The sequence below is a fragment of the Homo sapiens genome, chromosome 5, assembly GCF_000001405.40.
Source record: "Homo sapiens chromosome 5, GRCh38.p14 Primary Assembly".
NCBI classification, from domain to species: domain Eukaryota; kingdom Metazoa; phylum Chordata; class Mammalia; order Primates; family Hominidae; genus Homo; species Homo sapiens.
In genome coordinates, this window is record NC_000005.10 from 175,712,495 (window position 1) to 175,736,991 (window position 24,497).

At 47.9% G+C, this 24,497-nt stretch overlaps 1 annotated feature.

Annotated features, from left to right (window-relative positions):
• Nucleotides 16,508-17,233: an enhancer, noted in NCBI's record as "H3K4me1 hESC enhancer chr5:175156005-175156730 (GRCh37/hg19 assembly coordinates)". NCBI's record gives its function as "activates a minimal SCP1, AML or CMV promoter by ChIP-STARR-seq in primed H9 embryonic stem cells {active_cell/tissue: H9 hESC(primed)}" and the evidence as "EXISTENCE:reporter gene assay evidence [ECO:0000049][PMID:30033119]".

A 24,497-nucleotide genomic window follows, 5' to 3' on the forward strand; every position in this document is an offset into this window, starting at 1 on the left:
TGAGGGAATGGAGCTCAGAGAGTTCAGGTGGCTCTCCCCATGTCACACAAGCAGGAAAGCATCGCTGGGGACACACATTTGCCACCGGAATTCCAAGCATCCAGTGAGAATTCAGGACCCTCAAGCCTGCAGGGTGAATGGAAGGAGCCCCGCCACCCCCACTGCCCCAACTGTCAACAGACCTCAGGGCTCATAACTCAATGTTTCGGAGGTCTTTGCAGAAGTCAGTGCCGTGTCCCTGACCTCCTCATTCAAGGTCACAGAGCACAAAGTGCTTCTCACGTCCTGAGATGCCACTGGGCAAGCTGCTGCACTGGTCTGGCCTGATCTTGGCCCTCACCACCGGGGCCATTTGGGGCATTGCCAGAGTTCTCGTGCATCTGGTGGGCCTGGCAGGACTCTCGGGGAAATAGGGCCCCAAAGGGACGCAGTCTGGACCACGTGGCTCCCAGATAAACCATCTGTCACTTTCCACTGACTTTTACGAGCCCCTTCCTGTACCCAGACATGATGTCAGCCCTTCTGCAGCCACCAGCTCGTCTCTTCTGCGACCAGCCATCCCAGGTAGAGATTAGCATCCCCATGAGCTGTTAACAACTCCAAAATTAACAACCCGAACAAGCAGCATAGCTGGGGCTCCAGCCAGATTCGCTTGTCTCCAAAGTCCAAGTCTTTTCTTTATACATTTATCTTGAAATTAATTGTTAAGGACATAACTGATAATAGACATACAATCTCTTTTTAAAATGGAAACATTACAGAGAAAAGTAGAGTTTATTTGACCCCCTGCCAACAATCTTTTTTCCCTAGCAATTTCTTTGCATGCAACCACTGTTATCCTAGTCTGCTGTATGGTATTTGGATCAGTTTTATTTATTTTGTTTTTTTAACAGAAAAGTTATACTGCACCTAAGGAACCAAACTCAACAGTATGTCTTCAAGTTTCAACCATGCTAGCACATAAAGATCTTCCTCATTATTTTTAGCCATGGGAAGGTGTTCCGTGCTATTGGTATTGGTAGGTACCCCACAGTTTAGCTGTCTTCCTAGCCACAGACATTTATTTCTCTTTTGTTGGCTGTTTAAACAGTGATATGCTGATCATCTCATGCACGTGTGCAAGTGCAGTTTTTTTGGTTGTGTGTGTGTGTGTGTGTGTGTGTGTTTAGCATAAGTGTACCTGCAAGTGTTTTTCTGGATGTGGAGTATACATGCTGCCTAACAGCCCTCCAGAGAGGCAAAGCATGTTCACACTCCCACCAGCAACACTGGGAAGAAATTGTCTCTTTACAGCCTCAACATCCCACCTGTGCCTTCTAGTCCTTCTAGTCCTCCTAGAGATGCCCTACTTCCAGTGCAGGACAGAAAAGGTAGGTAGAAGAAATACTCAGACTTCTCCTGAGGCTCACCCCAGGCTCTTCATGAGCTCTACCAAGTCCTGCCTTCCTCCTTGGATCTCTGTGGAGGAAGCCAGCCCTGCCCGAGTCACCCAGCTCTTAGAGGCTGTATCAGCTAAGAGTGGCCACAGGAGTGCTGTGTAACAAACATCCACAATATCTCTCGGCATGTGGCAGTAAATATTTATTTAGCTCATTCATCTGTAGGCAGCTAATCTAGGATGGGCTCTGCTGGGATGGTTCAGCATTGCTTCAGGTGTCTCCCATGCTCTCCTGGGACCAGCAGGGCCACCCAGGCATGTTCTTCTCTGGGAAACGGCAGGAACATAAGAGACAAGCCCAGCAACACATATGCATTTCAAGTTTCTGGGCCTCTCTTCTGCAAACACACCATGAGCCAGAGCAAGTCCCATGGCCAAGCCATGGATGGAGCAAGTAAATCCACCCCTTCTCTCTCCAGTGGAACTGAGGTGAGGGGTGAATGACTATCTAATCCGCCACAGAAGCCAGGCCAGATATGACCTGAAATCTGCCTGATGCCAGAGCCCTGCAGAGCAGGGGTCTCAGGATGGAGACAGGGTCCCCCAACTGACTGGAAATGAGTTCTTTAAAGCTCCTCATTAGTGAAGCTGCCTTCAGTCTCCTACATACACCACAGTGATTTTCTACCCTGCCCCACAGTGAGATCTCTAAGACTCAAATCTGGGCCTTGGCACTGCCTGGCTGTGGGCCCCTCAGTGTTCCACCCCCACCACCACTGCCTCACCCCACATGGTCTGGCTCTGCCTAACGGTCCGGGCTCACTCACAGCCCTCCCCCTTTGCTGCACTCTCCCCTTCCCCTCTTGCCCCAGGACCCAGCCTCTTGTGCATGCTCTCACTCCATGGTCATGTCCGCAGCAGAATTCCCTTCCCAGGCATCCTTCAAGTCCCAGCTTGGGCCGCACCTCCATTTCAAAGTGATCCCTGTCCCTGTTCCTAGAATAATTCATTACTTCCTCCCTTGGCACATCCCTCTGTCCAAGAGACACATCACAGACATCCCAGAGGGTCCAACTCAGATGCCTTCAGGGGCCACCAAAGCTCACTGGCTTAAGACAAATAGAAGAGGCTCCCTGGCAATTTACAACCAATGTCTCTGCTGTTGATCTCCACCGCAGCCATGCCAATTGCACGCATGTTTATACGACCTTGGCCAAAAGGGACCACAGCAACTCTGCTAGACGATGACGCTGCCACCTGGGACTGTGGTCCCAGAGTCTATTTTTCAGGAGAAGACATAAATTTGGATATTTATTAGGAATATTAGATGGGTTAATATTTGTAAAGCTCTAAGAAGGATGCTGGGGGCATCGTAAATGCTGTATACCTGTTAAAGTAAGTGGATAGGTGGAAGGGAGGGACAGAGGAAAGAAGGGAGAGGAGGAGGGCAAATTAGATAAATCTCTCTTTGAAAAGTTGGTAATTTTAAAAAAAATGATATACTGAAGCAACCAAGCCTTTTTCCAGGCCATGTTTGACCAGAATACTACCAGTTTGTGGACTCAGGAACAGAACTGCCCTGTTACTCTGGGGGAGCCCCTAGAGGAGAAGGTAGGGGTGGGGTGTGGCCCCTGCCCAGAGCACACACCGCCAAGGATGCCTCCTCCATTTCCCTCTGCCATGACAACACTGCACACACACTTCCCTCCGCTCCTCCAGGGGAACTGGAGAGAGCAGGGAGACCTCAAAGGAAAAGAAATACAGAGAGATTGGGAATTGCCTCTGTCTTGACCAGGGTTTCTCTGCAGTGCTTGAGAGAGATCCCAAGAGCCTTTGGACCTCAGAAAGGGTCTTCGGTGGGCCCGCTCCTCCCATCTTCATCACCACTGCCCTAGGTCAGGCCTCGCCGTACCTTTCTTGGACTCCCCACTAGCCTTCCGGTCCTCATTCCCTCCTCGTCCAGTGTGTATGGACACCTCCCTGTGTCCCCAAGGGCATCTCAGAGCCAGCAGGTCATGCTATCTGACTGGCTTTGAATTCCAGCTGAGGGAACAAGTCACAATCCAATTCCCTCATCCACCAATGGGGAAAATTGGTGGTATCTTACAGAGTTGTTGGAAGGTTTCAAAGGATGTCATGCCTGCAAAGGGCTTGGTACAATGCAACCAAAGAGCTTAGACAATGTCATGTGCTCAATAAGCATCAGCTGCTGCTACTGCCAAAGTGCAAGTCATTGAGTGTTATTCTGCTTAAATGCCTTTGTAGCTTTCATTACCTTTGAATGCAGAGCTGGCTCCTTGGCTTGACATTCACAGCCCTGCCTGATCTAGCCTATGCAGCCTTCCCTGATCCCACATGGATGCAGTTGCCACCCATGAGATGTACACACCCAACTCTAAACGGTACATTCTTGACTTGTCAATTCTGAGCCTTCCAAATGTCAAGACCTTGCAGGCGGCCCCCTCCCCAAAGCAACGGAGGTCCTCCACCAACCTTGGAGCTCAGTCCAGGATTTGAGTGCCAAGGCAGGGCTGCTCTGGGCATTGAAATTGAACCTCTCTTAGAGACTTAGGGACAGAGCTCATTCTGAGTTGACTCCAAGATCTTCTCCCAGGGACCGAGCAGTCATCTGATCTAAAGCCTGAGCCAGAGAGGGAAATCTAGGTGACTGACACAGGCCCCTGAGTCTCATTCTCTCATCTGTGACATGGTGGTACTGGGGACATTTTCTTTGTGCTATTTATAACCCAAACCACCTTTTCCAAAGAAAGCCCCTTATTGTTAACTAGGTTCCCTTTGTTCTGTTGAGCACCTGGATGAATCTGAAAATGCATTTATCTGCATAATAGTGGGAGAAGAATTTGGAGTTCGTGAGGTACAGTCTGGGGTGGCAGGTGGTGAGGAGGAGGGATGAGCAAAGAGAAAAGCGATAAAAGTCGCTAAGATGGAGACAGAATGAAGTTAACCATGTACATTCCCAAAATGACACTTAGAAGAAAAGTGAATGCCTCATGTTCATTTTATAGTTGTACACACTGATATGGTGTAAACCCTTCTCCACCTCTCCTCCTACACAAAGATCTCCAGGAGAGACCATTGCACTCATGAGTATTTTGGCTTTGGTAGTGGGGGTGGAATCTGGGAAGCGGGTGGAGTTTGGCATCTGGGCCCACATAGGCCACAACAGAAGGGACCCTAGAGGAGGCAGGCTTCCAGAGCCAGAGAAAAAACAGGAGACTCTGGATACTTTGGGAAGTCACTAATCTTGGGAAGGCTGTGGTCTTCCTAGAGGGTAGTGAATGAGTGAGATCAAACCAACCTTGTCCAGATCTCAAGGCAACAGGAGGCCACAGATGCCATTTTGTTTACACAAGTTTAATAAAATCTACCTTACATGTTGTGGTGAGGATTAAGAGATGATGAATAAAAGCATTTGATACATAATAACAACATTATTTGAGGTGGATTTTCCTTGTGGCTGTGACTCCTTCCAATGCCAGGAACAATACTATAGAAATGTCCAATTTGAAGATTTAGGTCTCAGGAAGCATAAAATGCTAAAGCACTGGGTGGATCTAAGCAGGTGTTCAAATGATTTTAAATCTTTTAGACATGTATTGTGTATGAGAGGTAGAGGGGAGAGGACCCTCTCAGTTCTTGGAAACTGTCTCCTCTGGAACATGTCACTAAAGACAGGACCGGCCCAAGCTGAGTTAGAGTGTGAGCCAGCTAGATGGCGGGGAACCCTGAAACATCATGGAAATAAACCACAAATGTGCTAACTCCAGTTTCCAGGATAATTCTTCTCTCATAGCTGGAGAAATGTGCATTGATCCCCACACTTGGCCCTTTAGGGAATTTTCCAAAATCCCTTGTTGTGTTGATCCTGTTCTGGAGTGTTTTTTTGATTGAGATATAATTCACATACCATAAAATTTGTCTTTTAAAGTGTACAACTTAGTGTATTTAGTATATTCACAAAATTGTGCAACCATCACTGCTAAATTTTGCAACTTTGCGAAATTTTTTATTATCCCCAAAAGAAACCCCACACCCATTAGCAATGACTCCTCAGCCCCTGACAACCATGAATCTACTTTCTGTCTCTGTGAATTTGCCCACTCTGGACATTGTGCCACACACGGGCTATCAGAGAGAGCTTGGCACCCAGTGTCCTCTGCTGAAATGCAGGAACACAGTAGTTCACGCCATTGGGCTGCTTACCAGTAAAAAATAATGCATTGTCTAGAGCTAAAACTCTTTCCTGTGTTTCCACTAACTGATTTTTGGATAATCCCCAAATGAAACTAGGGAAGGAACAAAAACCAAAACAAAATGAAATGTTTTGCTGAGTATTTTCTGAGTACTGACTCCACTGTGACCATGGAAATAAACAGGTAAGTGACTTTGTTTCTGTATATAGCTTTTGTTAACAGAAAAATCAGTTTTTCCCTGACCCAGCTAGATTAATATTGAACAAAGATTGAAAGATGTAGATCTGAAGAAATGCCAAACCATTTACTTCCCCGGGAGCCTTGACCCCAGCAAAGACTTGCCCCAGAAAAGCCCTTTTCTCCCCGTTTCTATTGTTAAGAACTTTTACCCAAAACTTGGGAATAAAGCTAAAAGGTGACAGCATCTCCTGTGAGTGTCACATAGGGGGACCTATCTAGCAGGCCCGCCCAGGACTATCTGATTCTCCAGGGGAATGTGCCAGTGTTTGACTTACTGTTTACTATTGATTAGGGCCCAGACTCTGCAAAGTTACACGTTAACTTGTAGAAGATTAAGTTGCAAATAGCTTCCTTTTGGCCCATTAGAAATGCAAATGATTTCTGTATAGTGGGAAAGATTACACCAAAGGTTATAGTTTATTGTCCTGTAGGACATTACCCTGTTTGTGTCTAACTCAGCAATCCTATCCCAAGACATTCTTTCAGGGATGGTCTATGGCTGTTTCTCAGATTCTTATTTGAACCAGCTCCAACTACCATCCTCCTTGGTCTTTCATTAATGAGTTAAATTATTCTGTGTCTCGTGTTGACTATACATTTGTATGAGTCATGTGTGTCTTTTGAACATTATACTTTGATGAAATCTTGGGTTCTAACCGCAGCCAGTGGGCAGGGACGCCCCCTGCTGGCAGGGCCATTTTATCCATTACACGTTATAAGCACAAGCTTTTCAGAAGCTTCCAAAGATATTTGGGACCCGAAAAGAAAAGAAAACAGAGCCTTTAAAGTATGAAAAGAAAAATGCAAATTTAAAATGAGTCTACATTTGATTAAAATCTACAAAATGCATTATTTTATTTTTATTTATTTATTTTTTTGAGACGAAGTCTCGCTCTCTAGCCCAGGCTGGAATGCAATGGCGCGATCTCGGCTCACCGCAACCTACGCCTCCCCGGCTCAAGCAATTCTCCTGCCTCAGTCTCCTGAGTAGCTGGGATTACAGGCACCCACCACCACACCTGGCTAACTTTTTTGTATTTTTAGTAGAGATGGGCTTTCACCATGTTGGCCAGGCTGGTCTCTAACTCCTGACCTCAAGTGATCTGCCCACCTCAGCCTCCCAGAGTGCTAGGATTACAGGCTTGAGCCACCACTCCCGGGCTAAAATGCAATATTTTAGATGTCTACAAAGTATAGCTTGTCAGCCATAGCTCAGCTCAATTCATAATCACATAAAAATTATCTTTAATATAGGATATTCTGAGTGGTTACAATGTCTGATGGGAGTTCTTCAGGACAAAGGCAGAAGGCATGTTCTGTGCATCATTTTTACTTAATATGAAATGAAAATGATGCAAGGGCATCAACCAGCTCCATCTGCCCTGTTTCCAAGACGAGATTGATCTAGGACTACAGACACCCCACTCCACCTGCCAAGGCCACCTTGCCTCCCCAGGATCTGGTGGGAGAGTGTGGGCATAATTCATCTCCTCTCCTGGCTCCCTCTGTCACCAAGATACTGTGCCAGCTATGTGGTGTCTTGCCCACACTCAGGGCCATTGGGCTCTTGATGCTAGTCAGCTGTCCATCCAGGCAGCAAGAGACTGCCTCCCCTCTACACAACCCGCCAATCTTCAGGAGATGGGTGCTCTAAGAAATTCCCTTCTGCTATCCTAGAAGGCAAGAAATAACTAAAATCAGAGCAGAACTGAAGGAAATAGAGACACAAAAAACCCTTCAAAAAATTAATGAATCCAGGAGCTGGTTTTTTGAAAGGATCAACAAAATTGATAAACCGCTAGCAAGACTAATAAAGAAAAAAAGAGAGAAGAATCAAATAGACGCAATAAAAAATGATAAAGGGGATATCACCACCGATCCCACAGAAATACAAACTACCATCAGAGAATACTACAAACACCTCTATGCAAATAAACTAGAAAATCTAGAAGAAATGGATAAATTCCTCGACACATACACTCTCCCAAGACTAAACCAGGAAGAAGTTGAATCTCTGAATAGACCAATAACAGGCTCTGAAATTGTGGCAATAATCAATAGCTTACCAACCAAAAAGAGTGCAGGACCAGATGGATTCACAGCCGAATTCTACCAGAGGTACAAGGAGGAACTGGTACCATTCCTTCTGAAACTATTCCAATCAATAGAAAAAGAGGGAATCCTCCCTAACTCATTTTATGAGGCCAGCATCATCCTGATACCAAAGCCGGGCAGAGACACAACCAAAAAAGAGAATTTTAGACCAATATCCTTGATGAACATTGACACAAAAATCCTCAATAAAATACTGGCAAACCGAATCCAGCAGCACATCAAAAAGCTTATCCACCATGATCAAGTGGGCTTCATCCCTGGGATGCAAGGCTGGTTCAATATACACAAATCAATAAATGTAATCCAGCATATAAACAGAACCAAAGACAAAAACCACATGATTATCTCAATAGATGCAGAAAAGGCCTTGACAAAATTCAACAACGCTTCATGCTAAAAACTCTCAATAAATTAGGTATTGATGGGACGTATTTCAAAATAATAAGAGCTATCTATGACAAACCCACAGCCAATATCATACTGAATGGGCAAAAACTGGAAGCATTCCCTTTGAAAACTGGCACAAGACAGGGATGCCCTCTCTCACCACTCCTCTTCAACATAGTGTTGGAAGTTCTGGCCAGGGCAATTAGGCAGGAGAAGGAAATAAAGGGTATTCAATTAGGAAAAGAGGAAGTCAAATTGTCCTTGTTTGCAGACGACATGATTGTATATCTAGAAAACCCCATTGTCTCAGCCCAAAATCTCCTTAAGCTGATAAGCAACTTCAGCAAAGTCTCAGGATACAAAATCAATGTACAAAAATCACAAGCATTCTTATACACCAACAACAGACAAACAGAGAGCCAAATCATGAGTGAACTCCCATTCACAATTGCTTCAAAGAGAATAAAATACCTAGGAATCCAACTTACAAGGGATGTGAAGGACCTCTTCAAGGAGAACTACAAACCACTGCTCAAGGAAATAAAAGAGGATACAAACAAATGGAAGAATATGCCATGCTCATGGGTAGGAAGAATCAATATCATGAAAATGGCCATACTGCCCAAGGTAATTTACAGATTCAATGCCATCCCCATCAAGCTACCAATGACTTTCTTCACAGAATTGGAAAAAACTACTTTAAAGTTCATATGGAACCAAAAAAGAGCCCACATCACCAAGTCAATCCTAAGCCAAAAGAACAAAGCTGGAGGCATCACACTACCTGACTTCAAACTATACTACAAGGCTACAGTAACCAAAACAGCATGGTACTGGTACCAAAACAGAGATATAGATCAATGGAACAGAACAGAGCCCTCAGAAATAACGCCGCATATCTACAACTATCTGATCTTTGACAAACCTGAAAAAAACAAGCAATGGGGAAAGGATTCCCTATTTAATAAATGGTGCTGGGAAAACTGGCTAGCCATATGTAGAAAGCTGAAACTGGATCCCTTCCTTACACCTTATACAAAAATCAATTCAAGATGGATTAAAGACTTAAACGTTGGACCTAAAACCATAAAAACCCTAGAAGAAAACCTAGGCTTTACCATTCAGGACATAGGCATGGGCAAGGACTTCATGTCTAAAACACCAAAAGCAATGGCAACAAAAGCCAAAATTGACAAATGGGATCTAATTCAACTAAAGAGCTTCTGCACAGCAAAAGAAACTACCATCAGAGTGAACAGGCAACCTACAAAATGGGAGAAAATTTTCGCAACCTACTCATCTGACAAAGGGCTAATATCCAGAATCTACAATGAACTCAAACAAATTTACAAGAAAAAAACAACCCCATCAAAAAGTGGGCGAAGGACATGAACAGACACTTCTCAAAAGAAGACATTTATGCAGCCAAAAAACACATGAAAAAATGCTCACCATCACTGGCTATCAGAGAAATGCAAATCAAAACCACAATGAGATATCATCTCACACCAGTTAGAATGGCAATCATTAAAAAGTCAGGAAACAACAGGTGCCGGAGAGGATGTGGAGAAACAGGAACACTTTTACACCGTTGGTGGGACTGTGAACTAGTTCAACCATTGTGGAAGTCAGTGTGGCGATTCCTCAGGGATCTAGAACTAGAAATACCATTTGACCCAGCCATCCCATTACTGGGTGTATACCCAAAGGACTATAAATCATGCTGCTATAAAGACATGCACACGTATGTTTATTGTGGCACTATTCACAATAGCAAAGACTTGGAACCAACCCAAATGCCCAACAATGATAGACTGGATTAAGAAAATGTGGCACATATACACCATGGAATACTATGCAGTCATAAAAAATGATGAGTTCATGTCCTTTGTAGGGTCATGGATGAAATTGGAAATCATCATTCTCGGTAAACTATCGCAAGAACAAAAAACCAAACACCGCATATTCTCACTCATAGGTGGGAATTGAACAATGAGATCACATGGACACAGGAAGGGGAACATCACACTCTGGGGACTGTGGTGGGGTGGGGGGAGGGGGGAGGGATAGCATTGGGAGATATACCTAATGCTAGATGACGAGTTAGTGGGTGCAGCGCACCAGCATGGCACATGTATACATATGTAACTAACCTGCACATTGTGCACATGTACCCTAAAACTTAAAAGTATAATAATAAAAAAAAAAAAAAAAAGAAATTCCCTTCTGCTATCCTAGAGACAACGGCCAGCCAATCAGCTTGGCTTTGTTGAATCCTTGCTGCAGGCTGTGAGAACCTAGCACCAAAAAAAAAAAAAAAAAAAAAAAAAAAAAGAATCTAGGTTTAAAGAATAGCTCTCCTGTGTTCTGGTTTTGAGGTGTCTCTTGAGCAATTCCTTGACCAGCTGGTATCATGGGTCACTCCAAGGGGCGAGGAACAGGTTTCAATGAGGCTTTCGTATCTCCACATCCACAGGTCACAAACTATTTCTTGAAAGATCCTAATACTGATTTGGCTAATGTAGAAGTATCCATTTTGGCCAGCGATGGAGAACATTTCAAGCACAAGAAATTCTCAACCAGGCCAAAATTGCTCTTAGAGCCATGGGGTCGGGATTAAGACTCCTGTTCTGAAACCATAATCAGGCCCAGCATATTAGTGTTTACAAAACCAAATTCTATTTTGACCCCAGATAAGAGAAGAACACAGATATGCAAACTGCAGGCCTCAGGGCCTTTGCTAAGGGGAAACCGCCCTCCTCACTGGGCCTCAAAACCCTGAGATATGACCTCTGGCTCCAGTTCAAGTTCTAAGGAAACCTTAGGGGGCCTGTTACTCCTTTATTTGTACCCTGGTTTTCCCATCTGTAAAAAGGGATCAAGGATCAAGTCAGGATTGAATGAGATCATGCATATAATTCATCTAGCACCTATTTAGTACTTAGTAAATATATGTTTTCAAGGTCCCATAATTCTGAAGTAAATAAAAATTAATTTATCCTACGTGTCACCAAAACAGTAAAGGTTTCCAGGTTAAAAAAAAAAAAAAATCCTGTGGTTTAACGTTTGATGAAGGTCCTTTTTATACAGACACCCTAATCTGGGGGGGCTTACTCCACATCTTAGTAACACACTAAAAGGTTTCCAGACACCACCTGAAATGACTCTCCCAAGTGTTAAATTCAATTGCAATTCACAAGCTGACATAACATTACTGCCTGCAGAATATGGTTACATAGAAACATTGATTAGCTTTGATCCTGCAGTCTTCTTTTCATATTCTGGAATCAACTTTTTTTTTTTTTTTTTTTTTTTTTTTGGTAAAAAGCAAGCTAGAGGACTGGAAGGTGACAAACCAGTAAGAAGGGGGAGGAAGTCCTGGGCTGGAGATTATAAACAGCAGCAAGGGCCGTGGAGGTCTTTCTGGGGATTGTTTAAACATTTACCCCAAATTTTAATAGAACATGACTTTTAAAAATGGAAGGGATTAAAAATCCTTTATTTGGCAAGATCAGATCCATCATTATTCTTCCATACCAGTGGTCTCAGGAAACAAAAGTGACATGTTATTAGAAGAAAATGTAAATGTTTCATTTTTGTACATTGCTGCTGGGTGATTCCTGCTACCTTGTTATTCCCTGTATTTATTGCCATGGCAAGCAGCTGTCAATCAGGGCTGCCCTAGTGGGGAAACACCCTCTCACGTTTAAATCCGTTCCTCTATTCTGAAAAGCCCTCCTGCCCAGTGTAGAATGCAAACCTCTGCCTTGCTCAGCCTTCTTTACCCCTAGGGTGCAGACATATGACAGAATATCCCGATCAAAGACTCCAGCAACTTTGATTTAGAAATAAGCTCCTCCGAGCAGTGGGATTGCAGGATCATATGATAGTCCTATTTTTAGTTCTTTGAGGAACCTCCATACCATTTTCCACTGTGGCTGTACTAATCTACACTCTTACCAACAACGTGCAAGCGTTCCCTTTTCTCTGCATCCTCACCAGCACCCGTTATTTTTTGCCTTTTTGTTGAGACTGGGATGAGATGGTATCTCCTTGTGGTTTCTGCCAGGCAAGGTCAGAGTCCCAGCACTGGGAAGTGATCGACTCGTGGGTTTGTAAAAAAAAAAAAAAAAAAAAGTACCAACAATAGTATAAGTTTGAAAAAGGAAAGTTTCTTAGGAAGAATGCTGCAAAAGCGTGCAGCGGGGCCCCTCAGCAAGAGGACTGAGCATGCCACAGTGGATTTTTCCTTAGGGGTATTTATGGACCTAAGGCAGGAGCTTAGGGTTGTAAAATGAGTTTTGGCGTGGCATTCCGGAGATGGATAGAAATTTTAGTTACTTATAAAAGTTGAAAGAGGCCTGGAACCAGACGCTGACTTTAGATACTAGGGAAGTCTAATTACTTTTGATTTTCTCCAGATGTAGGGAGTTTTGCCTCCGGAGGGCCTGTTCGATGGTCACCAGGTGGTCGCTGCTGGCTTCTAAACTCCTCAGATAAGGAGTTTTTGTCTCCGGGACCCATCCAGTGGTCACCAGGTGATTTCCACTCTCCTCAGTTCCAATGTGGATTTCCCTGATGATAGACATTGAGCATTTTTTCATATACCTGTTGGTTATTTGTATGTATTCTTTTGAGAAATGCTTATTCAAATATTTTGCCCATTTTTAGACAAATACTTTGGGCTTTTTGCTATTGAGTTGTTTGAGTCTATCAACAGATAAATGGATAAAGAAAATGTCATATATATATATATATATATATATATATATATATATATGTCCATTTTCATACTGCGATGAAGAAATACCAAAGACTGGATAATTTATAAAGAAAAAGAGGTTTAATGGACTCACAGTTCCACATGGTTGGGAAGGCCTCACCATCATGGTGGAAGGCGAAGGAGGAGCAAAGTCACATCTTACATAGTCACAGGCAAGAGAGTCTGTGCAGGGGAGCTGCCCTTTATAAAACCATCAGATCTCATAAGACTTACTCACTATCATGAGAACAGCATGGGAAAAACCCACCCCCATGATTCAATCACCTCCCACTGGGTCCCTCCCATGATAGGTGGAGATTATGGGAGCTACAATTCAAGATGAGATTTGGGTGGGGACACAGCCAAACCATATCAATACATGAAGGAATATTATTCAGCCACAAAAAAGAGTGAAATTGCTGTAATATGAATGGAACTAGAGGTCATCATGTCAAGTGAAACAAGCCAGGCACAGAAAGACAAAAATCACATGTTCTCACTCATATATGGGAGCTTAAAAAGTGGATCTCATGGAGACAGAGAGTAGAACGATGGTTACTGGAGGCTGGGAATGGGAGGGGAAGGGAGGATGAAGATAAGTTAATTAATGGGTACAAAAATACAGTCTGACAGGAGGAAGAAGATCTAGTGTTTGATAACTTAGTAAGGTGGCTAGAGTTAACAATAAGGTATTGCATATTTCAAAATAACTAAAAGAGAAGAATTTGAATGTTCCCAACATAAAGAAAAGATAAATATTTGAGGCGATGGATACTCAGTTACCCTGATTTGATTATCACACATTGTACCTATGTATCAAAATATCACATGTACCCCATAAATGTGTACATCTATTATAAATCAATTTTAAAAAGGGAGGGAGGAAGAAGCTCCTCCGAGCAGGACAGAATGCAGTGGGCTCTGGCAGTAGCTGGCTCACCCCGGTGCACAGGCTTCCAAGGGCAGCCCCAGCTCCCAGCCAGGCCAGCTCTGCTGTCAATCTGTGAGCTTTCTAATAACCTATGCTAATAAATCTCTCCCTGCTTAATACCCAGCTCCTGGCCTGTAATATGTGTTCAATGCATTCTAATTAAATGAATCTGCTTGGGGAGAAGGACTGGCTCTGCTCTAAGGTATGTCTTCCTTACTAACTGGGAAGCCAGAGGCTGTGTCCATCAGCTGCTTTGCTAGCAAGTGCTTAGCACAGATCAGGCCCCAATGAAGGTGGAAGACAGGGAGGAGGGAGGAGATGTGGGCCCCAGCCCTGCCCCTGGGCTGAGTATTATTGAATCTCCCTCTTTTCTGGTATATCCCTGGGGACACCTCATCTCTGTCTGAGAAGATTAGAACAAGGAGCCCTCCCAGGACCCCCCTCAGACCCAGGCAAGAAGGACCCTGCTTTGGAAGACCTGGCCCTGTCTCTCCAGTGGTCCCCACGGGGTCAAGGGTCTATGGGGCTGAAAGGATGTGGCCACCTGGAGCCAACCCCGGCCCCCTTCTAAATCACACTTGCAGGAATTGGGGCCCTAGATTTCCTTGGCCAAATGGTGCTAAAACCCAATTCTTGGGCCTGTGCAGGCCTGTCCCCACGTCCAACCTCTCAGGGGTGGAACATGAACATGGCTAGGCCCAAGGGTGGCTACTTATGGGGGGATATGAATGGAGTTTTGACCCTTGGGCATGTAGAAGATGTGGGGTGTATGGGATGGAGCCCAGGTGGGAAGAGACAGAGCAGGGTGGCCTTCTGCCAAGGTTCAGCTCTCCTCCCCATACCATGTTCTGGTGTGGAACTCCAAGGAGTCCAAAGCTTCCAGATTAACCTGACCTTCTAGGTAGTTTGAAAAGTGTACTTTCTCAAGATCAAAAAATAGAAGCTATTTAATTTAATAATGTGTCTATGTACCAGTTACCTATTGCTGTGTAACAAACGACCCCAAAACTTAGTAGCTTAAAATGACACATATGTATTGTCTCACGATTTGTCTGATCAGGAGTCTGGAAACTGCTTAGCTGGGTTTTCTGCTTCACAGTGTCTTGGGAGACTATAATCAAGTCTTAGCCCAGGGTCTACAATCTCATCTGAAGGCCCAGCTAGGGCAGGGTTGGTGGCTGAACTCAGTCAGTGGCTGTCTGTCAGCCAGTCTGGCCTCAGTTCCTTGCCAGAAGGAATCTTGGTTCATCAAGGCATGCATGCCAAGAGGCATCATAAGATTGTAACAGAAGTTACTACTTTTTATAACCTACTCATGGAAGTGACACCCGATCACCTTTGTCATATTCTACTGGTTAGAAGCAAGTCTCCAGCCAGCCCACCCTCAAGGGGAGGTGGTCATACAAGGGCAGGAACATCAGGAGGTGGAAATCACTAGGGCCATCTTAGGGGCTGCCTGTCACAGCTTGTTTGATTTTTGACTTGTAAGTATTTAGATATGTGAGATACGGTCCTCCCAAGCTCCACAAATCTTAAGAGCAGCCTTGCTTTTTCCTGTGAAGCCCACAAAGCACCTCCTTGCCATAAATAAAATGTCCCACCCCAGGGGCTCTAGCAGAATCCAGATGCATCACCTGCCAAGCCCAGGGCTGTGAACTCAGAGCTCCCACTGAGAGACAGTGCTCCAGGATCACAACCCTGCATCCTGGACAGATGAGCAGAGCCCAATTCAAAGGAAGCTTCCATGAAGGACAGAAATTACCACTTCCCGCTCCAATTACCAGCTGAGCTAATTGCAAAAGTAATTGCAACTGAGGGACCTAATCACCAGGCTGGGCCAGAGACGCGCTTCCTCCCCGCCTTTCGGGGCCTCCTGCTGCCTCCTGGGGGCTGCAGACAGGGTGGGAATCCTGTTCTTGAGAGAACAAGAGGTCTGGCCTATGTCCCCGAGACCAGATTGTCAGAGATAGACCAGTCCTCCTCCCGGCGATAAAGCTTCCCAGCCCCGAGAATGGCCCCTCCCATTGGATTTCTGCCCTGGCCGTAGATTCGTAAGCCACCTGGCTCACTCCCGGGCTACTAAGGGCCAGCAATTACCACATTATGAGCCATGGGCTCCTCGGCCCTGGCATCTGGGTCCTGGCCCTCTCCCTGCCCTTTCCTGCCCCAGGCACTGTCTCTGCACTGGGCACTGTCACCCTAGGGCTGGGTCCCCCTTAATGGCCAGTCCTCCTCTCAGAGCACCCCTACATTCCTATGTTCACTTCCAGCCTCTAGATCCCACAACCTGCCCGCAGGACCCGCCCACTCCCACCTCTTGGGCCTCCCCAGCACCTCTGGCCCAGGAAGCCCAGCCTGGTCTGGCCCTGGGTGAGCTGCAGAGTGCACAACTCAGGTTCTCCTAAGTAATGGTGGAAAAGATGAGGGTGGACTGGGGGAGGCCCCCGGCTGACAACACTGCCTATGCCCTCCATTAGGCCCCTCTACTCCCTCCGCACAGCCCCCAAAACCAGCCATCCTCGGGCACTACACCGCCAGCGTGGTCCCTCCTCTACAAACTGGGGCCGGGCAAGTTCCCTGCAGACCCTGGAATTAGACGTTACGACTGTTCGGCGGAGGAAGGCCAGGGCCCCTGTGGGCGAGCTCCTGTTCTATAGAGACCTATCTCACTCACAGGGCCTGGCCACACCCCTGCTCAAAACCTTCCAGTGGGACCCACTGCCCTCAGGACAGAGGCCACTGGTCTCCTCCGCGCCAGCCCGCCCTCTGCCTCTGTCTTTTGATCCCCTGCTGCTCCCTGCAGGTTCCGTGGAGCACTTGCCCAGCGTCCTCCGCATGCATCCCCGTCTGTCCGGCGGCAGAGCCAGGCTTGGTAGAGCCCTGAAGCTTACATGAGCTGGAGTGTATCTCCCGAAGAAAAAGAGTACAAAAGGATAAATGGGACAATGAAGTCCAGAGTCCTAGAAAACGAGGGTCCCTGAAGCTTCGGGCCATTGGCCTTAAAGCAGATTTGCCTCCCCTCCCCCATCTGGTCCCATCTCCCCTCCCTTACCTTCCCGGGGCAGCCTTTCCCCAGCCCCGCCCACCGCTCCCCACTCCTGCCCGGGTTGGGTTCTTCCCCAGGACGCCCTGCGCTTAGCTTAGGATATCCTATCTCCCTGCATAGTAGGCGTCTCTCTGTGGATCTGATCCTCCCGTGAGGCTGGGGGCCAGGGCAGTGCCGAGTATCAGCATTGCGACCTGCAGAATACAGGGAAGTGAATTAATGAATGAACACTTTTCCCACAAATAAGCAAACACATGAACATCTGTTAGGTGATCTCGCAGGCTTAAACATTCAGCTGTCCCAAAGCAGGAGCTGCTTGCACCAGGAAGGTCTCCAACCCGCCCACAGCCAGCAGCCTTCAACTCCCAGCTAGTCTCCAAACCAGGGGAAGCCCAGGCACGGGGAATCCACCAGGGGGCAGTGCAGGACCACAAATGCCTATCCAGCCAGCACCTGCGCGTAAACTGCCCTCCCTAAACCCTGCAGAAATCGTCTCCCCCTAGCGCCAGCATTCCTAGGCTTCCAGAGTTTCAACTACCCCTTTCAATTAAACAGAAGAAAAGTGGAGCTGAGGAGTCAGGCAGATCCAGGATCAAGCCCCGCTCTACCATTTCCACCCTGGCTGTGTGAATGTAGGCATGTTCCCTCCCCTCTTTGAGCCAAACTCTCTAACCTGCAGGGCTTCTATGATGCCTGCGAGGGTTCCCTGAAAATGATAAACTGCCAGACATAGGTTGGTTATTGGTTAATTCAGTCCACTGTCTGATTTCCAAATGATGCTATATTAACCCAACTTTAGCTTTAGGGGTAAAATGTTGCAAATGCCAACCCCATAACAAGGTTATGAAAAACTCTGATTTAGTCTCTATTAAAGACATCCTGAATGGTTTATTGATTTTATTTTTTAAGGGGAATGAGAGGAAATAGGAGCAAACCTTTTTGGGTGCCAATTAAATTCATAGTTAAAAGTTTATGATACGGGAGACAGTGGGCACAGCAGAGCCCCAAGCCTCGACTCCTGGCCACTGGGCACTGTCCCCCATTCGTCCAGTGTCTCTTTTCCCTGCCCTCAATATGTGAGCTTTTCCAGGCTGTAAAGACTGCTGCCTCTCTGCAACCTCACTGGCTAGCTCACAGTAGGTGATCAAAAACTGCACACTGCATTGCCTTGAGGATGGCTTCGGGAAATTCTTTTCCACTATTCTTTTGGGTTTCTGTCTGCATCATCTGGGGTCTTTGGGTGCAAGCTCTGAACACTGACTTGTGTGAACTTTATGGGAAAGATGTCAGGTAGCTCAGAAAAAATGAAGGAAAGCTGGAGGTCTGAGCTCAGCGAACAACAGAGCAGCTCTGGGGACCAGGACACCGAGAGCGCTTTTCCTCTCTGCCAAGTTGCCACTACTGTGATGAATGACTTCTGGTGGTCTCTCTATGATGCAGAGCCCCTGCAATCAGGCCATCCCCTGGCCTGGCCTGGAGAGCACAGGACAGCTTGATGGACACCCTAGGACAATGTCACATGCAACTCAGAAGGGCAAGTCCCCCCAGTGAAGTGGGCAGAGAGGCCGGATGGCCAAAGATCAGCCAAATTCATGACAGTTCAATACACCAAATCCAGGCTGGGACTCCAGTTCCCATGACATTGGTTCCTGTTCTGGTCCCTGGGCCCCGCCCTGCAGCATGGAGCTCAGAAAGGTACAGACATGAGAAGGAGCAGGCAAGATTCTGCCGTCAGAGTGTGTGAAAGCCACTGGGGGAGGCGAGGCTCAGGGAGGACAGAGCAGAATGAGCAAGAGTAAAGGAGGGAGGCCCTCCTTGCAGATGGGCAAAGTCCTGGCTGTTCATCACAGCTTGCCAGCCACCTGCTGTGCAACCTCCAGCAGGTCCTTGTTTCTCTGAGCCCCAGTTTTACCATCAGTAAAGACTTTTCTGGGCAAGCATACCTGTTCTCTGCAGTCCCTCTGTCCAGCAGTGCTTTACTTACAAAGAATCTCAACACTGGGGTCACTGAGGACTCAATTGCCACCCACCACCATACACACACACAGGCACACACTCACACTCACCAGGCCCCAGTGAAAAGGAGGCCCCTACACATCTCACGTGACTAAATAGCACGTTTCTAGAGCCAGGGAAGCTTGCCATGGGTTGGCTCCCCCAGCTCATCAGCTGTGTGACCCTGGGCTTATTTGGAACCCTGCAGCCCTCTGACCCCAGCCTTCTGCTTGCAAGTGATGACATAGATTCCAGGGCAGGCCATCCAGGGAGTGGTGGCTCAGTGTGGCCCCTCCCTGCCATGGGAGACTGAGCCAAAGTGGATGTGAAGAGTACTAGCCGTACCCAAAGGTGGCACTTACCAAAGCCACCTATGTTAGGGCAATGCTAGCTGCCGGAAAAATAGACCCAGAGGCATATGCACACTCAAACTCAATAGAAGTCTATTACTTGCTCATGCAATGCAATAGTCCAAATCTGGAAAAATCCAACCAACCCAGAGAGGCCCCACCTTTCTGACTATTTTCTTTCATTTTTGCTTGCAGACTGCACAAATCTTACCTGAGTTCATGTCTTTCTTGTAAGACCTTGCTATAAGCAGCAAAATGCAGCAAAAGCTAGTGTGTGTTTCTATGGGCAGAAACACACACTAGCTGTCAGGATTTTTACCTCTTCCCCTGGAGCTGCCAGTTCCCTGGCCTTTGTCTTCCTTCCAAATTATTTTAGGCAATGAATGGCTCATCAGATGCACTGTGGCTGCATCACACAAGTCCCCCCAGTTTCCACCTGGGATCTCCAGTCTTCGCTACTCACTGTCCACCCCCTGGGGCCATGCCACGTATTTAAGGTTGTTATGGCAACACCCTTGCTTCAAGGTGCCAATTCCTGTATTGATTAGAGTAATGCAAGCTGCAAAATGAATAAGGACTCAACACATCAGAATTTGGTTTCTTCTTCACTTGATGGTCTTGAGCCTGCGGTTGCAGCCGTGGGTGGTGGGAGGGTTCTCTTCACAGTAAGCCAGACACCAGGCTTCCACCCCTGGGAGCCACCTCCCCTTGAGCACAGGGGCCTTGTTTGCATCTCTTCCAGACTCAGGAAGGGAAGAAAATAAGGGACACACTTGCTCCTTAAAAGCTTCAGCTCCAAAAGGGAACCCATCACTTCTGCCCACAGTTTATGGGCCAGAACACAGAACTCAGCCCACAGCCCAAGGGAGGCACAAACCAGGAAGAAAAGAAAACAGATTCAGGGTGAGCAGCCAGCCATCAAGAGGGAGGCCCCACGCTTTTCTTTGGGGGTTTCTCGCTGGCCCACCCCTCATGGCTAGTGGCCCATCCAAGTCAGCAATTTTTGACTTAGCTTCTGATATGTGCAGGCCCCAGGGTGAGAACCAGTAACAGCGATGAATCAGCCATCATCTGTATCCAATGAGTTCACTGCCTAATGGAGAGACCAGAGAAACATGTGATTCCACCCCAGCGGGACTGGACAGAAAAGGGTGCTCAGAAGGTGTTGAAGGGGCACGTGCCCAACTTCTCAGGGGAGATGGCATTGGAGCTGAGAGGTGTGGGAGTTGTCCCCGTGGAGGAGGAAGGTGGAGGGTAGGTCCCAGACAGTGGCAGGTCAGCCAGCAGGTGGAGTGGGGTTATTGGAGGGGAGACCTGAATCCAGCCGACAGCTGCGAGCCGGGAGAGGTGGCTCCATCTGTGGGTGACAAAGCAGGGGCCAGTGTGAAGCAAGATCTCCAGAAAGTAAGATGTCAGGTATAAAGCCATTAAGTTTTTGATCTACTGTGGCTATAACAGATCACAAACTTAATTGCTTCAAACAACACAGATGTAGGACACAGAAAGTACTGTAGACCAGAAGTCGAAAATGGGTCTCACAGGGTAAAATCGAGGTGCAATTGGGCTGTGTTCCTTCTGCAGGCTCCAAGGGAAAATCCATTGCCCTTCCTTTCCCAGTGTCTGGAGGCTGCCTGCATTCCTTGGCTCGTGGCCCCAGCCAGCAGCTGCATCCCTCCCACCTCTGCTCGTCATGCCTTCCCCTTCTCTGACTCTGCTTATAAGGACAGACCCTCGTGATTACATCAGGGCCACCAGGTAAGTCAGGGTCACCTTCCCAGCCTGTGAGTCTTAATCACATCCGCAAAGCCACTTTTGTCACGTAAGGAAACACATTCACAGGTTCCAAGGACTAGGACGTGAACATCTTCCGGGGCCATTCTTCAGCCTGCCACAGCTGGTCGTTCATGCCAGCAGTCACCAAGAGAGAGCTCAGAGAAGATGAGGAGCATCTGTGCAGAGAGCCAGAGGACAGGGACAGGGAAGCCCAGAGCTCTCACGTCTGAAGGAAAGGTGGGCTGGGCGTGCTGGCTCTGGCCTGTAATGCCAGTGATCCGGGAGTACTGGGAAAGGAGGGTGTGGTCCCTGGTAGGGCTCCACCCCCACGGAGCTAGGTAAGGACAGGCACTTCTGCCTTTGCACACAAGTGTTGCATTTGTCAAGACCACCCTGGCCCACCACGCCCCCATTCTGGGCCTATAAAAACCTGAGACCCTAGCAAGGCAGAGACACAAGTGGCTAGACATCGTGAGGAACACATCGGTGGAAGAAGACAGAAGCAGCTGGTCATCGAGAGCACACTGGCGGGAGAGCACGTCGACAGGCAACGGCAGGCCGGCAAGCCAGCGACCAGCGGCACAACACGGAGTTAGGAAAGAGAGATCGGAGAAGAGTCAGGCTGCCCAGCAGCCAGACTTCAGGGGAAAACCATCTCCCTTCTGTCTCCCCCATCTGTTGAGAGCTGCTTCCACTCAATAAAACCTTGCACTCATTCTCCAAGCCCACGTGTGATCCCATTCTTCCGGTACAGCAAGACGAGAACCCGGGATACAGAAACACCTCTGACCTTGGAACAGGTAGAGGGTCTAATGGAACTGGTTAACACAAGCCACCTATAGATGGCAAACTAAGAGAGCACCCTGTAACACACGCCCACTGGGGCTTCAGGAGCTGTAAACATTCACCCTATACACTGCCGTGGGGTCAGAGCCCCACAGCCTGCCCATCTGTTTGCTTCCCTAGAGGTTTGAGCATCGGGGCACTGAAGAAGCGAGCCACACCCACATTGCACGCCCTGCGACGGCGGCAAGGGAACCTTTCCTGTTTCACCGCACCTTGGGAGGCTGAGGTGGCAGGATTGCTTGAGCTCAGGAGCTCAAAACAGCCTGGGTAACATAGTGAGACCCCCATCTCTATAAAAAATACAAAAATTAGCTGGACATGGTGGTGTGCACCTGCAGTTCCAGCTACGGAGGAGGTTGAGGTGGAAGGATAGCTCGAGCCCAGAAGGTTGAGGTTGCAGTGATCTGTAGCCACACCACTGCACTGCAGCCTGGAGGACAGAGTGAGACCCTGTCTCAAAAAAAAAAAAAAAAAAATGGCCAGGCGCCATGGCTCATGCCTGTAATCCCAGCACTTTGGGAGGCTGAGGCAGGCAGATCATGAGGTCAGGAGATCGAGACCATCCTGGCTAACATGGTGAAATCCCGTCTCTACTAAAAATACAAAAAATTAGCCGGGCGAGGTGGCCGGTGCCTGTAGTCCCAGCTACTCGGGAGGCTGAGGCAGGAGAACGGTGTGAACCCGGGAGGTGGAGCTTGCAGTGAGCCCAGATCACATCACTGCACTCCAGCCTGGGCAACAGAGCGAGACTCCGTCTCAAAAAAAAAAGGAATGATAGTGGCAGCCGGCAGCAGGAAGCATTACAGCAGGACCAGGCCCTGCCATGGACATCGTTTTTGCCTGCCCTAAATCCATTCTCTCTCTTCTGGTAACTGCACCTCAGGTTTCCTAACGGAAATACTTCTGAACATTCTTAACCCAAGGATCAGCCCGTGACCCCATCAAAGCCAACCAGAGCCTTTCATCCCCCATCCCTCAGGGGTGGGCGTGGCCCAAGCCAGGGCAGAGAGACCTTTCTTGGAACTTACTCTGGAGCTATTGGGGAAGACATTGGTGCTGGGGGCTGCTTTGAGAGAGCCCCTCTGAGATTCTACAGGGGGAGAGCGGACTTGAGTGATGAAAAGAGATGATGACAGCGTTTGGAAAACTGCATCTAGCTATGCAGAAAGCCAACTCTAGATTTCTCAATTATGTGAACCAAAAAAAGAAGAAGAAATCAGCTTAATCCCATTTCTAGCTGTTGCAACCGCATAAGTATTGACGAATCCAGCCCCCGGCACTGGTCTCAGGTTTTGAGGCTGCCTGCTGTGTCTCTTCTCTCCCCACCGCCCGCCCACCCAGCTTCTCCCCATCCTTCAAGGCTGTGCTCAACGCCACCTTCCTAAGGAAGCCATCGCTGGCTCGGATTCTCCCGTTTCCAGGTTGGCCTGGCCCTACCTTAGGGTCCCAGCCTCTCAGGGTGGCTGCCTGGCCCAGGGTGCCCCTCACAGCCCCCCTGTCTTTCACCTCTTGGGTAATGGGCTGCTCGTCTTCTCTGGTCACTTGCAGCCCCAGGAACGAGACCTTCCATGGCTCTGTCAGAACCAGATGCTGACCTGTGGGAGAGTCAACAGCTGCCATCTGAGATCCAGGGAAGACAAGCATGATTGGGCCTCCCCAGAAGTTGCTGTGCCCTGTTCTCAACAGGGCCCCCAAAGCCAGAGTGGGGCTTCTCACCTTCTTCTCTGCAAGGCCAAGGTCACTCTCAACAGAAGAACTGTCCTGGTGCCTTAGCTCTTCCATGTCTCTGCCCAACGTTCATGAGCATCAACTTGAATGCCTCCAGAGACAGGGTGATCATCACCTCTCTGGCAAATCATTCTCTTGCTGGACAGTGAGTCCAGGTCTACCCCCTAAATTTGCCTTTCCTCTGTCCCTCCAAGAATGCCTGGCTAGGTACCTTCCATAACCCACTCCCCAGCATGGCTCCCAGCCCAATATTATTCCCTGGCTGTGCAGTGGGACTGTCTGTCGCATCCCCCACCCTGCTGCCCCCGCTTACATTTCTGCAGGGCCCCTCTCTCATACTCTAAGTATTTCCATCTGCTCCCTGAGGAAACCCTGAGTGATTCCTAAGAGCTCTAAGAGCAGAAAACAAGATTCTAGGTGCCCCAGAGTTCTCAGTTTCACCCTGGCTAAGCACAAGACCACAGCCATGCCCCAGGAGGGAGGGGAGCAGAGCACCCCCACACTCAGGCCTCCACCTCCAGGGTCCCTGAGCTCAGCCCAGGCTGTGGTGCTGGGTGGAGAGGCGCACGTGGGCACTGTGGTCAGGCCAGGCACCCATACCTCCCCACAGGTCACTCGCCCTGGTGCCTCCAGGCTGGGGGAGGCCAGGACAGTGCATTTCCTGGCATGGGAGCTCACTCTTATGCCCAGACAATGCCACTGAGCCTGGCGGAGGTGGCCTCATATTGGAAT